At 42.8% G+C, this 16,195-nt stretch overlaps 2 annotated features.

Moving 5' to 3' along the window:
* Positions 478–1,677: an enhancer, noted in NCBI's record as "BRD4-independent group 4 enhancer chr6:2434059-2435258 (GRCh37/hg19 assembly coordinates)". NCBI's record gives its function as "activates an origin of replication core promoter dependent on BRD2, P300/CBP, MED14 and CDK7 cofactors, and independent of BRD4, by STARR-seq in HCT116 cells {active_cell/tissue: HCT116}" and the evidence as "EXISTENCE:reporter gene assay evidence [ECO:0000049][PMID:35650434]".
* Positions 816–1,549: an enhancer, noted in NCBI's record as "H3K4me1 hESC enhancer chr6:2434397-2435130 (GRCh37/hg19 assembly coordinates)". NCBI's record gives its function as "activates a minimal SCP1, AML or CMV promoter by ChIP-STARR-seq in primed H9 embryonic stem cells {active_cell/tissue: H9 hESC(primed)}" and the evidence as "EXISTENCE:reporter gene assay evidence [ECO:0000049][PMID:30033119]".

Below are 16,195 nucleotides of genomic sequence, written 5' to 3' on the forward strand. Positions count from 1 at the left end.
CAGCCACTGTTGTGTGTCTCCACTGCTAAATGAGGCTCTCCCGAGTGCAAGGCTGCAGGGGGGCTTTGGGAGAACTCTTGGTGGAATGCGATTAGGCTTACATTCTTTACTGGCAATTGCCTCAGAGTTTTCCTGTTTTTTCCCATAGCCCTATGTGGACACTGGAATTATGAACCTGGTATTTGATGCAGTGACAGAAATGTAACTGTTGACTTAGGCAGAATGGGAACCTACTGAACAGTGTTGGATTCAATCTGGGGCACAATTGAATCCCAGGCCTTCCAGGATGCGGTCATTCGGATTTGGTCTCTCCCTTTCCCGCTGCCCTCTGTATCTCAGCTTTCCTACCTGGTGGCTTTGCTCTCAGGGGGAAACTGAAAGCTCAGGACTTACTTGACCTTTATGGCTGGCAGTTCCAGCAGAAAGAGGAAGCTTCTCTTCATGACAGCGTCTCTGCACCCAGCTGGGATCATGATCGCCCCGCTGAGCCAATCACCAAGGCAAGGCAGGTGGAATGCCCCTGCACCCCGCCAGGAGCTTGGTGTCCAGCCAACCCTCCAAAAGCCTGAGTCTAGGGTACAGTCAGGCCCACAGGAAACCTGAGGGGCTGTTAGCAGAAGAGGGAACTTATGCTGGCCAAGCAAAACAGCACTTGTGCATCAGAGGCCCTCTTTGAGGAGGCGTGGGAGACACGGCTGTCTGGGCAGGGTTCGAAGCTGGCGACACCATGCTCCAGGCCCAGCCTGGGCCCCTCGCTTGTGGCTTAGCCTTAGGCTCACTCCACCTGTCAGCCCCACACTTCCTACTCAACGGGTCATTGTCAGGTGAACAGGACTCAATGAAAAGGAGCCTTTTAACCTGTATTTTCAATTTGCCCTCTGTCTTTACCTGCCATGGCCTGTGCTGTGTCATGGGAATGAGGAAGGACGGTGCAGCAGCCAGTGCTGGCTGGTCTGTGTGAATCACCTGCAAGTCATGCAGAACGATGTCATGGTGGGGTCAGGCTTCCAGCATCCGCAGCTCACACACCTTTCTATTCCACACAGGACCTGGCACTGGGCTCGGGGCCGCCCCTGCCCCTGGTCCTTCAGTGTTGCTCAAACTAGAAACAGAAGCCATGCTGGAAGACAGAGCTGCTGACCTAAGCCCAAAGCCCAGGTAAGGTGCAGACAACAGGCAGGCACTGGAGTGGCAAGGACCATCACGTGGTTCCTGGGTCCATGCGTGTTCTGCCCGGGCGACAGCTGGCACTCTGAAACACCACTCACAGCTCCAGTCCTGGCCCTGCCGCCACGTTAGCTTGTGCTCTCATGCAGTCACTGACCCTCCCCAGACCTCCGTGTTTTTATCAGGAGAATGAGAAGCTGGATGTCATCGCTCCTTTGCAATGATTCTGAGGTACTGCATTTAGGGAGAAAACCCCACCACACACATGCTCAATACAAACCCTATTTCTGGGGGTAGATTTGATTTAAAACGTCACCATAAACCGTTTAAAGCATCCAGTAATTTACTAATAATGCGTTTCCTGATGAGGGGAGGGAAGGCCGCGGTTTCAATCTCTCCTACTGATTCAGTGTGTGCTGTTCCCTAAAATAAAAATCAGCTTCATCGAAAGCTGCTGAAAGTTTTATGTCGCCTTAGCGCACACCACACCTAAACTCAGCAGGACACTGTTTCCTTGTTAGAGGATACATAGCAGAGAGTTCCAAATAATAGCTCAGCTGTCCAATGTCTACTTAATGGATTAGCAAAGGTAACAAATGATATCTTATTCCTGGCTCCTTCTGCTGAAATGCGATACTTCCAAAGGCTGGAAACCGTTCCCACTTGGTGACCTTCCTCCTTTCAAAGAATGAACATATTTGCTTCTCTCAACCTAGGCCTTTTCCCCTCACCACAGAATAACCCAAAACATCTGGAGATACTGTGGGGTCTCTCTCAAGAAGATTACACGTTCTTTTCAGCTTTTACTTTTCTGGGAGATGAATCTTGACAACTGGAAATTAGCAGCTGGAGTTATGGCAACAAGGAGGGCCCACCTCACGGTCCCGGGGGACGTCTCCGTCCTTCTCTTCAACATCGTCTCTGCCGTTCCCTGCTTACTCTCCCTCCTTCCTTCTTCTTTATTTCTTTCCTCAAGATACTTCACTGACCCTTGAGACTCTAAGACACAGAGAAGCTTCCTCCTCCTCCTTCCCGTTTCTAGCAGGGAAAGAGGCCCCTGGAATAGGAATTGGGCATTCCTGGCTCCCAACACGTTTCCTCTGGGCCTGGCCTGAGGCCAGGGCTGCTGCTTAACGGGGCAGGTTCTACCTCATCTCAAAATACCCCTGAAGGCCATCTAGCTCTGGCCTCTGTGTAGGTGTCAGTAACAGCTGGAGAGCTTGAAGGCAGGTGGAACATGTTCCTCTGTCCCTTCTGTCATTAGGGGTTTTACAGAGCTGGTCCGCGCCATCGCTAATCACTCATTCATTCCTTTCACAGTAATCTTCAAGCAAGGGACCTGTTTGAGTGTCTGCTCCATGACAGGCGGGGGACTCTTTGCCCATGGAAGCTCTAGGGCCATTTTCCAGCTGAGGTTTTAAAAAAAAAGGGAAGATGTGGGTCAGAGGACACCCACAGAGGACAGGTGCGTTCCTTCTCAGGCTGCCGCAAACGTCCTGATGTCTCTCCTCTTCAGTTCCCAGTTGAGAGCTGTCAGCTAGGTTCTTCGAGGCCAACTTTTGCTAATGTTTGGTTAGAGAAAAAAAGAGGAATAAACCCCCCTCTGAGTGCCGATAATTACAAGGATGCCCATTGGTATGTCAAGCTGGGGCTCAGAACAGAAAAGTCAACGCATCATAGGATGTTGTAAGGATGGATGATTTCAGGAAAAGACATATTTTCCCTTGGGATGTGAACAAGTGTGCGTGTGTGGCGGGGAATTGGTAGAAAATCGGGTGATGGGGACTTAAGGAGAGTGTGGGAAGACACTAATGGTTGAAGTGCAGGAGGGTCTAAAGAGCCAGCCTTGTCTGCCTTGGCTGATTTTGGTACAGGTGGAATGTGAAATATGAACTATTTACACATCTCCTATTTCCATGGACTAAGAAAAACAGAGAAAGCTGGGCACAGAGCTATAACTGAGCTCCCTTCTTCTGAACTCCAAACCACTTCTTTAAAATGGACCGTTAGATCTTGGAGGAAGCCGTTTTCCACTAGGCCTAGTGGTGCTGGAGCAGAGCGTGTGCCACCAGCTGAGAAAACAAACCCGAGAAGGAGAAAGTATACTCAGGTTAACAGGCCCCGGGCAAAAAGTCTCCATTCCCTGCCTCCCCGCCCGGCTTGCCCTCCCCTGGGGCTGGAACCGTGGGCTTTGGCAGGAGAGGTCTCAGGTAGGGGCTGAGGATTGGCTGGCCCAGCCGCATAGAACATAAAGAGATTTACAGTCTATTACTTCTGACTTTTATTAAATGAAAACCAGAGGTATAAAAATAAGGCAGCAAATAACACCATAACAGGAAATAAAAGGGGCGAAAAGGGGGCAAGTCCGCACCTTGAGGATGGCGTGCCCATTGCGATGCGGGTGTTCACAGCCACGACTCTCACCAGCCACGCTACACGGAGAGGAAGTCACCGCGGACGAAGGCGGTGGGGCAGGACTGTCTGCATCAGGGGCTCGCGGGTCTAGAGCTCACTGAGAAAGGTTTAAGCTTTGGTGAAATCTTAACTATGCCTTTTCAAGATTTTTCCTCTTTTGCTTGGAAATCTTTGTTTTATTCTAAGTGACATCTCACATATTTGTTTCCAGTTTGTTTTATACCTCCCTGAAACTAGTTAAGTTAAAAGCCACCTGATGCTGGAAAACCCTTTATGGACTGTGTATGTGGATGTGCCTGTGTATGTGTGTGAAAGAGAAAATAGTCATACTTTTTAAGTAGCCAGCAATTGGAGCTAAGGATGACATTCTGAACCTTCGTCCGTAGTTTCCGAGTGGGGTTTGTTCTTTGGAGGCAATTCATGAACCTCCTAGGCACACAGCTCTCATTTGATTGGCAATTCCCAGCACTAAAGAGCAAATCCTGCTTTGGGAACCTCACGTATTTCTTTTCCTTTTTCCAGACCCGTACCTGGGCTCTGATTCATCAGCTAAATTCAGGTGGAAGATATCAGATGCTTATAAAAATATTCTAAAGTCATGCCTAAACTTTAAGGGGGAAAGGTCTAGATGTTTCATTAAACATTTATCACTTTTTTGGAGGCAAAGAAACTTTATTTTCCTCTCTTGGGGAATTACCCAGAAGCCATAAAATGCTGTTTTATAACTGAATATCCCAGTTTACATCTCATGGAACGAAGCAAAATAAATACAAACTTTAAAAATATGGTCACAGCCCATATATTTTAAAAAACATTGTCACCACGGACCAACACAGCTCAAATGTTTCTTTCATGTTTAACCCTATGGGGTGGGTAGATTTCCCCCCAATATCAGTCATGTTTCCCTATGAACTGTCTGATTTCTGCTGTAGTATTAATAAAAAGGAGTGGTAATGGAATCTTATGTCTTATTTACAAAGTAAAATGTTACCAAAATCTGAGAATAATTCCTAGGGATGAATTTCTTTTCTCCTTTCCCCACTGGGCCCTTCAAATTTTTCTTCAGTAGCTTTACTTTTGCTTTTCTTTAAGTTTTACTTTCCCTTGGAGTTTATATGAAGGAAATGGAATGAGGTCTGGGATTTGCTTCAGAACCGCCCAGTGGGGCGAGCTAGTAGGGGATGCAGGTAAGGGTCTAGGTGAGACCGGCTTGGGTGTGAGCTAACTGTTATTGAAGCTACGTGTTGGGCACAGGGAGGTTTATTAGATTACTCTGTTTTGCCATATGTTTGAAAATTTCCATTAAAATGTCTTCCTCAATTCTCTCCAGATTCACTTTTCTCTTTTACTGGACTCTGGTTTGTTGATCCATAATTCTCTCCTGCAGACTCCACGTTTTTTTTCTGGAAAGAGCACCATTTTGCCCAGTTCATGACCTCTGGCAGTGGGATTCCTGGAGCTCTTTGTGAAGCTATCTCAACACTAGAAGACAATGCTTGCCACGCAGTGTGGCTGGGCGCTGCCATCCAGCTTCTGTCAGGGTGCGTGTAAGACATAGGTCCACCAGGGCACAGGCTAGCATGAATGAGGTGGGCCCTGTAGCACCAAAAGCTTCCTCCTTTCGGCTCCATTTTTGCCTCCTCTTCCCTCCCTTCCCCTTCTCTTTGTCTCCCTTCAATATTTCTTCATCTTATTCCTTCTCTTTCCTTCTTTTCTCTCAGTACCAAAGTCACCTCTCTTTCCTATCTCTGGTGTGGGAAAGCTGTTCTATAACAATTTCTCCAATTCAAATTCCTCTGGAGTAGCGGGCCAGAGCTCTTAGCCACTGTAGGGTATCCATCCGCTTTGCTTTACGTAACACAGAACACATCCAAACAGGTGTCTAGACTTAGCCCTTGTTTGACGTGGGCAAAGAAATGCCAAGAGAAATAGCTTGAACTCTGTCTATAGTTGAGGATTACTTATATTCAGGCAAAGCAAATGGGATGTGTCGGGGGAGGATATTACCAGCTGAAGTGAGAAGGCAGAGATGGACCTGAACTTCTGAAAGTCTTTCTGCTCTGCCAGGCTCCCCAGAACTTAATAAAACCTGCCTCTGTTATCACTACATGAAGCTAAAGTGGATAACCAATAAAATAGACAAGAGTGTCAGAATTCTACATTGCTTCAATAGGCAAGAATGACAAACTAGAGCCGATAAGGTAAAATGAAATATTAATAATACTAAATTCCTGCATCCAAGTGAAAATGACCAATTGCAGTAATGTGACAAAGACCTAACATTATTCATATGCAAAAGACCTGGGGCTTCCAAAAGTTTAGCCTGAGCCAATAATGAAATGCAATTACTGAAAATGCAAATGTACTTTCAACTGAGTTAGTAGATTTGCAGTATACAGATCAGAGGAGGTAAGAGTTTCATATTATGGGCACCACACTTTAAGAAAAATAATGTATTTGGGAAATCCAGAGGCAAGTGAGTGAGATGAAGAGGAGTCTGGAAACGATAAACTATAAGGGATCATTGAAGAAACCAGGGCTACCTCTCCTGAAAAGAAATAAAGAATAGACAGTGCCTTCTCTTGGAGGGCAGAAAGAACGCAGGCTGACAGAAGCTGCAGGGAGCTCCTGATGGCACAGAGCAAGCTCTCCTCCTCTCCTCCCCATCTCTCCAGTGGTATGTAGCTGCAGGGCCAGGACGAAGGCACGGAGAAGCTACTGGAGGACTCAGAAGAGCAAGTTGTGGAAGGTTGACTGGAGAAGGAGGCCACAACTCCAAGTACTGCTGAGCTGGCAGTGAGTCTACCAGGTTTTTCCTCCAGTTCTCTTCACCGCTGGGTCCAGGATGTGGGTGCAGCTGCAGAGGGGCTCAGCACAGGGGGTAACTAAAGTTCCAGCTTTCCAGGTGGAGGATCAAAAAGGGGAGGGCCGGGGAACTAGCAAGGACTCACAAGAGCACAGAGGGCAAGGAGTTTGGGAAAGCAACCCTTCAAGGTGGTTATGAAATCCTGGCTCCCCGTGAGCTGCACACGAATGAATGTGATTCTAATCAGCACACAAAGGACTTTGAGAACTGAAGTAACAGACAGACCACCGTCTAGGGTCCAGGCAGTCACTGAGTAGCACATTTGTGGACATAGGTAAACAACACTGCAAAGGCCCTGAAAATTGAACTGACCTTGAAACCACAGACCAAAGATGGCGGGTTGGAACTTAAGCCTGAACCTACCTGGATTTTATTGTCTGCTAAGACAAAAATACCAACATTTCCCATAGGATTTAAACAAGACCCCATTCATAACATAATAGTCAAACTGTCTAGGACACAACCCAAAATTACTTGGCATGGGAAGAATTAGACAAATCTCAACTCAGATGGCAAAAAGCAATCAACAGACACTATTAAGATGACACAGACTTTGGAATTAAATGACAAAGATATTAGAGGCACTATTATTAATATTAAAATGTTCTAAAAAGCAATTGTGGACACTCTTAAAATAGATGGAAAGATAACTTTAGTTACCCCACTCTGCCGAACTAAAAAATAAAATAACTGGAATTTAAAAACAAACTCACTGGGTGAGCTTATTTTCCTTTGTTTTTAATGTATTTAACTGTAATTTTATAACTGATTTTTTAACAATTACATTTTTAACACCTGTTTGCCAATTCCTAAAAATTTAAAAACAGCTCTCATGAACTGGTACAAGCTAGTTTTATAACACAACTGACATCCACCATGAATGGTCTATTGTAATGAACAGTAAATATCCCACATTGCAGGACTCCTTAGAGAATTGAATATAGAAATAGACACTGTTAAACACCATGTGAGAGATGAACATGCATTTCTGAACATAGTTAACTTATGGTCCAGGGAAGATACTTTTGGAAATGTTGATGTAAATGAACAATTCAACACTAGGTGCTCTGATTCTTTTGACTACATTTTATTCTCTCTCTTGCTCCATAGCCACCTACACTCTTACTTTCACCCTGACAATCTGTTTTGCTGTCTTTGTCTTCTTTCTACCTCTCCCCTGAAACTCATCTCTTGGACAAAGGAAGCCCTCATTATTATTATTATTTCATAGACAGCAGCCAAGTTTAAAATCTGGACTTATGGGTAGGAATTTTGGAAAGGCTGTAATTTCTTTCTTAGTTGGTGAAAAGGGGCTTTTGCCATTATTCTTTCCCAGACTTCTTATAAGACTTACACCATCAAAATTGTCTCTCACAACATTCATACTCTTTGCAGCTTTTAAATCATAGAGAAGATGGAGACTGTCTGAGGAGCTTGGCCAGGCCAGCCTCTGGGATACCGTTTGACATCAGCTCCCTTTTTGGTGGTCATATGCATGTGATTTGTCCCCACATCCCCATCTGTGCTGACCTTCCTCCCACCACTTACTTACTGGGGCTCTCGGCCCTTGTTAACAAGAGTAGGAGCAGCCAAATAGTTAGGGATGATGTGATTTCCCCCTTCACTCTCAGATGGACGATAGATCACAGACTCGCTATCATCAGCATCCCTGGATCTCGTTTGGGAAACACTCCTTTTTATGACTTTAGACTACGTTTATGTCAATGAAAATCATCCCCAAGCTACAGGAATTTGACTCAATAGCTAATTTCTCTTAATTTGCCCACAGCTGTTTTACCTGTGTTGACAATTTTCCTAAAGAAAAATGTTACCCCTTGTGGAGTTAAAGCCTTTTTCAATTTTGCCAGCATGTCAGAAATAAATGGCGTGCTAGTGCAAAGTTGCTTTTCAGTGAACCATGATCTTGCCAAAGCTGCATGTCCTCCCACTACATCATGGCTGTGAAAGGGAACTTTTAAAGCAGGTGGTGCCTGAGGTTTAAGGCTGGCTGGAGACAAAAACAAATGGAGGAGGCAACTGTTTTGAAAAACTACAACTCCCGTGTGGAAGCCCCATTTGGGAATCAACGTTTTAACCTACAGTGGTTGAAATACTTAATTAGATTCAAAGTAGAAGCTGGCTGCCACAAGACACCATCTCACCATTCCTTTATGAGCCCTTTAAAGTTGTAACTCAAACTTTTGCAAGTCAGTTTTAAGGCAGATTTGTTGACACACTTGTGGATGGCCAAAGTCAGGCTGTTGGTTTGCTTATTCAAAAGAATGGAAATTGTCTCTATGTACACGGTAACAGGGCTGTGATTCATAATCACTGCCTCTCAATGTTATGCTTTATTTCTCTTCCAGAAATAGCAATACACTTTCTTTCTTTAGACATTCTAGGTGTTTTGGAATACATAGATTTGTTTACTTTTTTACTACTTCTAAGATTGCTGGTCTCATTAGTGGAATGAAGAAATTCAAGTTGAGTGTTATCCTTCCTTGCATCTCTAACTCCTGAGGCAGAGCTGGTTGGGCAAATGTCAGGAAGTGAATGAGTGAGTGATGATGGTAATGGGTGAAGTCGTGTTTATGGTCATATACAGGGCTGAGTACCAAAGGTCAACATTTCCTTTCAGTCAGTAATAGGCTCACTGCTGTTAGATAACAACTAATATTTTCAGGGGAAAAAAGTCAGCTTAGAAATGAAGATTTATCTTTCCCCACCCAATCCCAGAAAATGATTTTGTATTTATTTTGATCTAGGCCCATTGTTTTTGGCTGTGATTCAAGAAAAGTAGAACAACCCTCTTTCCAAGTGGGAATTTGGGGGCTGCTATCTTTCTCTATATTTTTAAATCCTCAAAATCAGTAGGGGTAATACTGCCCCCAGATGAATAAAAATTGGTTCTTAAGGGGTGTGTTTTAAAAATCCTTTTTATATATAAGTCACAGATATACATATATGTAGTACATAAACACTATATCTGTGATATTAGAATCATACGGGGGATTGATTAGGGAAGATGTCTAAAAAGGGTTCCTTGGCGGAGGGGTGGTAATGAGTAAAAGATTGAGAAACGCTGTTCTAAATGGTCACTTTTTTTATAACTTGCTATTTGTAACACTAAGCATAGTTTCAAAGTCCCTGATTCCATTTACTCATAAAGAGATCCCGTAGGTTGGACAGGGTAGAAATAACAGGTATATCAACTATTCCAATTATGTATTTGCTAATCTTTTTTTTCTTTTCTTTTCTTTTTTTTCTTTTGAGACAGTCCCAGCCTGGAGTGTGGCAGCACAACCTTGGCTCACTGCAACCTATGCCTCCTGGGTTCAAACGATTCTCCTGCCTCAGCCTCCCAAGTAGCTGGGACTACAGGCAAGTGCCACCACACCTGGCTAATTTTTTGTATTTTTAGTAGAGACGGGGTTTTATCTTGTTGACCAGGTTGGTCTCGAACTCCTGACCTCAAGAGATCTGCCTGCCTCAGCCTCCTGAAGTGTTGGGATTACAGGTGTGAGCTATGGCACCTGGCCTATTTGTCAATCTTAATGGCCAAAACGTAACTATGTTATTTCAAATAGCTTCAGTGTTGCTATTAATTTACAGATTTATATCATGCCTATGTTTACATTGGTATGTTAGCTACGTAAATATACTCCCATTACAATTAATAAAATTGATATAATCTTTTTGAGGAAGAAAGAATTTTTAAGAAAGAATGATCATTCATTTTAGACAATATTTGGCCCAACACAATAATAGATAGTTAATTTGTGATCAGTTAATAATTAAGTTCTCTTTATTATAAAAATGTCATGCTGACATATGTGATTAAAACTTCTTGGATAGAATCTATTGCTGCTGTTATTGCTGAGGTAAGAACTAAGGGAAATCTTCCCTTTCATGTGTAAAGAGTTATATCCCCTTTTAATCTGTGATATCAGCATTTGTCCAAAAGCAGTTCTGTTTTCCAAAGATGATCATCCAGGCTAGGCATTAGAAAAACAGAAAAATCTATTAAAAAGAAAACATAAATCTGAGCTGTGTATTTGAAATAAAGAAGCTAGCACTTTCCAAAGTAAATGAAACAGGGTTTATCTTATTTTTCTCAGAAAAGGAAGGTTTGAAGCTAACCCATTTATGATTTCAAAGTCATGAACGGATTGGTGAAATAGTGATGGATCCAGTGTATATTTTATAGTAGCATGGAATTTAAAAAATAGGAACTCCTACAATATTATTTCATCCAAAGCATAATAAATAGAGAGAGTAGGGTCATTGGAGTCGATGATTTAAACAAATACCGTAGCTCAAGAGGCACCTAACATTGTGTGGAAAAAGTTGAAAAATGGCATTCGTCTGCTGGTGTTTTAAACACACTCCTCCTTCACGATTAACATGAAGATAAACCAAGTGAGGCCAGCTTTGCATTTTTCTTTTGGGTCAAAGGAAGTCACTAAGATATAATTTCATGTCCTACTCTGAAAATTTGGGGCTTAGTGTTATCATGATTTAGGCCATGTTTTTCATGGATTATACTGAGAAAGAAAAGTTGCTACAGTGCTCAGACCATTTAATTCCTTAGGAAAGTAACGTGATAGTTTCTCATGCCTCACATGAAGTCCACGCTGGGGAAAGGTGACCTTCTGAGTGCAAACCCCGTCCTGAGGTGTGGGGTCTTAAGGTGCCCATACTATTCAGTTTGCGAGTAGGGAGAGTAGATGCTAAGTTAGTTGTTAAGTGAATAAATCAGACTGTGAACTTCTCTTGGACAGGAACTGTGATTTTCTTGATGTAAAGGGGCATCAAGAAGGAGGAGGAGCTGGGCACGGTGGCTCATGCCTGTAATCCCAGCACTTTGGGAGGCCGAGGTGGGCGGATCACGAGGTCTGGAGATCGAGACAATCCTGATTAACACGGTGAAACCCCATCTCTACTAAAAATACAAAAAATTAGCTGGGCGTGGTGGCGGGCGCCTGTAGTCCCAGCTACTCGGGAGGCTGAGGCAGGAGAATAGCTTGAACCCGGGAGGTGGAGCTTGCAGTGAGCCGAGATTGCACTACTGCACTCCAGCCTGGGTGACAGAGCAAGACTCTGTCTCAAAAAAAAAAAAAGGAAGGAGGAGGAAAATATGCTGTTAGGTTGGTGGAAAAGTAATTGAGGTTTTTGCCATTTAAAAGTAATGGCAAAAGTTTTAATGGCAAAAACCGCAATTACTTATGATCTATAGACAGGAGATGAGGCGAACAAAGTTCACATCCTTCAAAGTCATCCTAGAGTCATTCCAGAGGGCTGTAGACTTTGGCCCAAACCTTTAAACCTGCCTCAGTTTCTATTTATGTCAGATAAAACTTACTTCTGTGCCATCTTTTTCTTTCAGGAAATGATTGATCCAGAAGGGTTTTGCAAATGACTTAATAGCTTTTAGACTTGTTTCTTTGTCAATAAATGGGGACACCAATAGTTACTTTCATGTTTCTTCATAAAACATGTAGAACGTGCTCAGCATATAGTGGGTGATCATGTAAGTAGGAACTCTCTATTAGGGTTCAACTGAAACCAAAAGTTGCTGTGTGAAGATAGAATTGAGACCACCCATGTCAACATGATTTGTTTGTTCATGGGACACTTTGCCCAGGGGAGATAAGGTTGAAAATCAAAAATTATTTTCACTGTTTGCTTCAGGAAATTTCTTCAGTCAATTTATTGGAGAAAATAGCCTGCTCACCAAGGCAAACAGCTTGCTTATTTAAAAAACAGTGAACTTACCCACACTCACTTCGAGACAGTCATTTTGATGCATCCACCAATCCCAAATGCCCAGTCCCTATCATTCCTTACCTTGGAATACCTGCCTTAAACAACTCGAGCCCAGAGCCCAAAGTCAGAAGGCTCCACTGCTGGCTTTGTTCTTCTGAGACTCTGCTAAGATTCCGTTAAGGTGATGTTGTCTCTTCCTGCAATGAGCTCAAATAAACTTAATTTTGCTTAATTAGCAGTTAATTGACTGGTGACATTTTGGGGGATTCAACAATAATAATTATACACTGGGTTTTGATCTCTTCATTGTATCACGTGTGTTGGTGCTAATGGCAGTGGCAGTAGGCTTTCCTCTGCTCAGTCCTTGGGCTACTCTCTGGTGTTACATTGAGTTTTCTTTCTTTCTTTCTTTCTTTCTTTCTTTCTTTCTTTCTTTCTTTCTTCCTTTCTCTTTCTTTTTTTTTTTTAAGAAAAATCTACAATTTTTTTTAATTAAAAATTGTTTTGCATCTGGCTGGGAATGGTGGCTCACACCTGTAATCCCAGCACTTTGGGAGGCCAAGGTGGGTGGATCACTTAAGCCCAAGAGTTCCAAACCAGCCTGGGCAACATGGCGAAACTCCAACTCTACAAAAAATTTTAAAAATTAGTCAGGTATGGTGGCACACACCTTTAGTCTCAGCTACTTGGGAGGCTAAGGGGAGAGGATTGCTTGAGCCTGGGAGTTTGAAGCTGCAGTGAGCACCACTGTACTCCAGCCTAGGTGTCAGAGTGAGACCTCATCTCCAAAAAAACTGTTTTGCACCTAGAAAAAATGTTATTTTTCTTTTACTTTTCAGTGACTTTTTTCATTTATTAAGTTTTAAAATTTATTTTTAATTTTTAATTGACAAATTAAATTTTATATACTTATGGGGTACACCATGATGCTGTGATATAGGTATACCCTGTAGAATGATTAAATCAAGCCAGTTAACAGATCCATCACCTCATATACTTATTTTTTATGGTGAGAACGCTTTAAATTTACTCTTGGCCATTTTGAAATACATAATACATTATTATTAACTATAGTCATCATGCTCTGCAGTAGATCACAAAAATGTATTTCTCCTAACTGAAATTTTGCACCCTTTGACCAGCATCTCCCCAGTCCATCCACTGTCCTGCCCTTGGTAACCACTATTCCACTTTCTAATTCTATGTGTTTGCGTGTTTTGGATTCCACATATAAGTGAGATCACATGGTATCTGCCTCTCTGTGCCTGGCTTAATTTACTTACCATAATGTCCTCCAGGTCAATCCATGTTGTCAAAAATGAAAGCATTTCCTTCTTTTTAAAGTCTGAGTGGTGTTCCACTGTGAATATATACACCACATTTTCTTTATTTGTTCATCCATTGCTGGACACTTAGGTTGACTCCATATCTTGGCTATTGCGAATAGTGCTGCAATGAACATGGGGGTGAAGACATTCCTTTAACGTACTGACTTCAAATCCTTTGAGCATATACCCCAAAGTGGGATTGCTGGATTGTGTGGTAGTTCTATTGTTAGTTTTTTAAGGACCCTCCATACTGGTTTCCAGAATACCTGTATTAGTTTACGTTCCCACCAACGGTATGCAAAGGTTCCCTTTTCTCCACATCTGCACGGTTCAGTTCAGCTCCTAAGGGAGCAGTGACACCGGCAGCTGAGGAAGCGTCATGGATTCCAGCTTCACTGATTGTCCGAAAGCCAGTGGGGCATCCCTACATGCCTAACTTACTTGGCTGCTGGGGACCCTGGCTTATTCTCTCTTTCTTGTGTAGGCACCACTATTTGCTGAGCATTCCAAAATACCTGCTTGGTTGTTCCCGGGGAAAAAAAACCCAGGCAGCAGCTAGAGCTGGGTATTCTGCTCAGGTGACCAAGATGGAAGCAAAGTTAATGAGTGACAGATGCCACACCAGAGATGACATTGGGCGGGCCGTTGTTCCAGCCCCTTGGTTTCTACCTGGGTTTGGCAGAAAAGCAGCTAAGTCTTTGACTCGTTTGGTGTAACTTGGGCTGAATCCTGTTGTTATCTGTCAGCCTTGCTTTACAAAAACCTCATTTCCTAAGCTGAGTTTTCCATCAATCAGAATAATAAATCAGCCAAATTATCTCCATCTGGCTTTTGGCAGCAGAAAGCTCTTTAGGCTAAGAGAGAAAGGAAACCTTTATCTTCTTCAAAAGCTATAAAGCAGTCACATTTTTAAATGAATGTAAATTCAGTCTTTAAAAAATATTTTCATGCAAGATAGACAAATAAGATTTTAAACTTGAAATTCTGTAGACAGCATAGTGCAGTCATTCCAAGTTTGGCTGTCCTTGATGGTTAGGGTTGACAGATTCAGCGAATAAAATTACTGGAAGCCCCATTAAATTTAAATTTCAGATAAACAACAGACAGGTTTAAGCATAGATATATCCCAAATATCATCTGGGACATACTTATACTAAAAAGTTATTTGTTGTTTATCTAAAATTCCAATTTAACTATATGTCTTGTGTTTTATCTGGCAGCCCTCCTAGGGATTCATGAAAGTGCTTGAACTAAAGCCAGGTTTCCTTACTTGTTGTTCTAGATTCTTTTGGAGCATGCTATAAGCTTGCTGTGCTTCTTAAATCGATTTATTAGGTTACCTGTGTGGTACAGAGCAAAATCCAATTAGCAAGAAACTATAAAAAAGATATTGTCACGTAGAAGCAGAAGTTTACTGTGGGAAAGGAAAAGGCAAGAACAAAATTGAGTGTTTTGAGTTCAGGCTTCAGGGAGGGAATGGAGCAATGCCTAGCACAGATCTTGAGTGTAGTGGTTGGAAATAATATTCAGCTGTCACAACTCGGTCTGAAAGTGTGTCTTTCTATCATTCATTCTTGCCAGGTTCATGCCCTGTGAAAGGCAGTCAGGGAGTCTATTTTATGACAGTGGGCTGATTGTGGCCAGATGTTATTCTTGCTGTTTGCTACGTTTTATTGCTGTTATATTATCTTTAAACTATTGAACGATGACATGTAATGAAACTCCTAATATCCAGTAGTCAAAATCATTAAATTACAAGGTCTGCGAAGCCCATGTCCATCTTGAAAGCATTTTTCAATACCTTCCACACTTCTCTAAAGTCCATTCATTTATCTTAGTGTATTATAGCTAAGAGCCCTACATTCATGCTCTGAAAAAAAAAAAAAAACAACTTCTGGGGAAAATATGTTGATGTAGTTATTGTTTTCATTATCATACATCATGTTCACATTACTATGGGAAAGAGCCCTTTTCCCTTAGGGAAAAAAAAAAACAAAAACTGTCCTGAGAGGAGGGAAGGTGGAAACACACCAAATACAACAGCACCCTCCACTGGTCGCTAAAGGAAAGTGTGCTTTTGTGATGTGGACAGGAGGAAGTGAAGAAGGTCATCGTAATGAGCAGCAGATTCGGTTGCCGTTCGAAGCACAGGCGTTAGGGTATCAGAACATAAGTAAGTGATTGGAATCGGGCCATTTTTTAAAGTAGCAAGAACAATATAAAGAAGTGTCCACTGACTCTCGGTGCTGGGAACTGAGAACGGAGCTGTAAATCATCTCGAGTGAGTGTTTCGCTGTGACGTCATCGCAGAGGATGTGGGGTCCTTCACCATGATTACGTTTTCCCTCTCCTTTTTGTTGGAATAGATTCTGACAGACAAAAGCAAATTGAACTCAGATGCACTTCTCAGCAGTCTGGAGAGGAAGCTGGATGTGAGTGCTGACCCTGGAGCCACTGGCTCTGTGAAGGTTGGTTTGCTTTGGAGCTTGACCCAGCTGCACCCGGGCGTCACCTGCTTTTCGCCGCAGCCCACCTGGAACAGGGGAAGTGTCTGCTTATTCCGCAGTGAAAGCACTCTGTTACCAGTGCCTTCCACCTAGTGCGACTCCGCCGCTTTGGCTATCTTCTCTCATCCTAGAATTCTCACTGTGTC

Source organism: Homo sapiens, chromosome 6, assembly GCF_000001405.40.
Source record: "Homo sapiens chromosome 6, GRCh38.p14 Primary Assembly".
Lineage (NCBI taxonomy): Eukaryota > Metazoa > Chordata > Mammalia > Primates > Hominidae > Homo > Homo sapiens.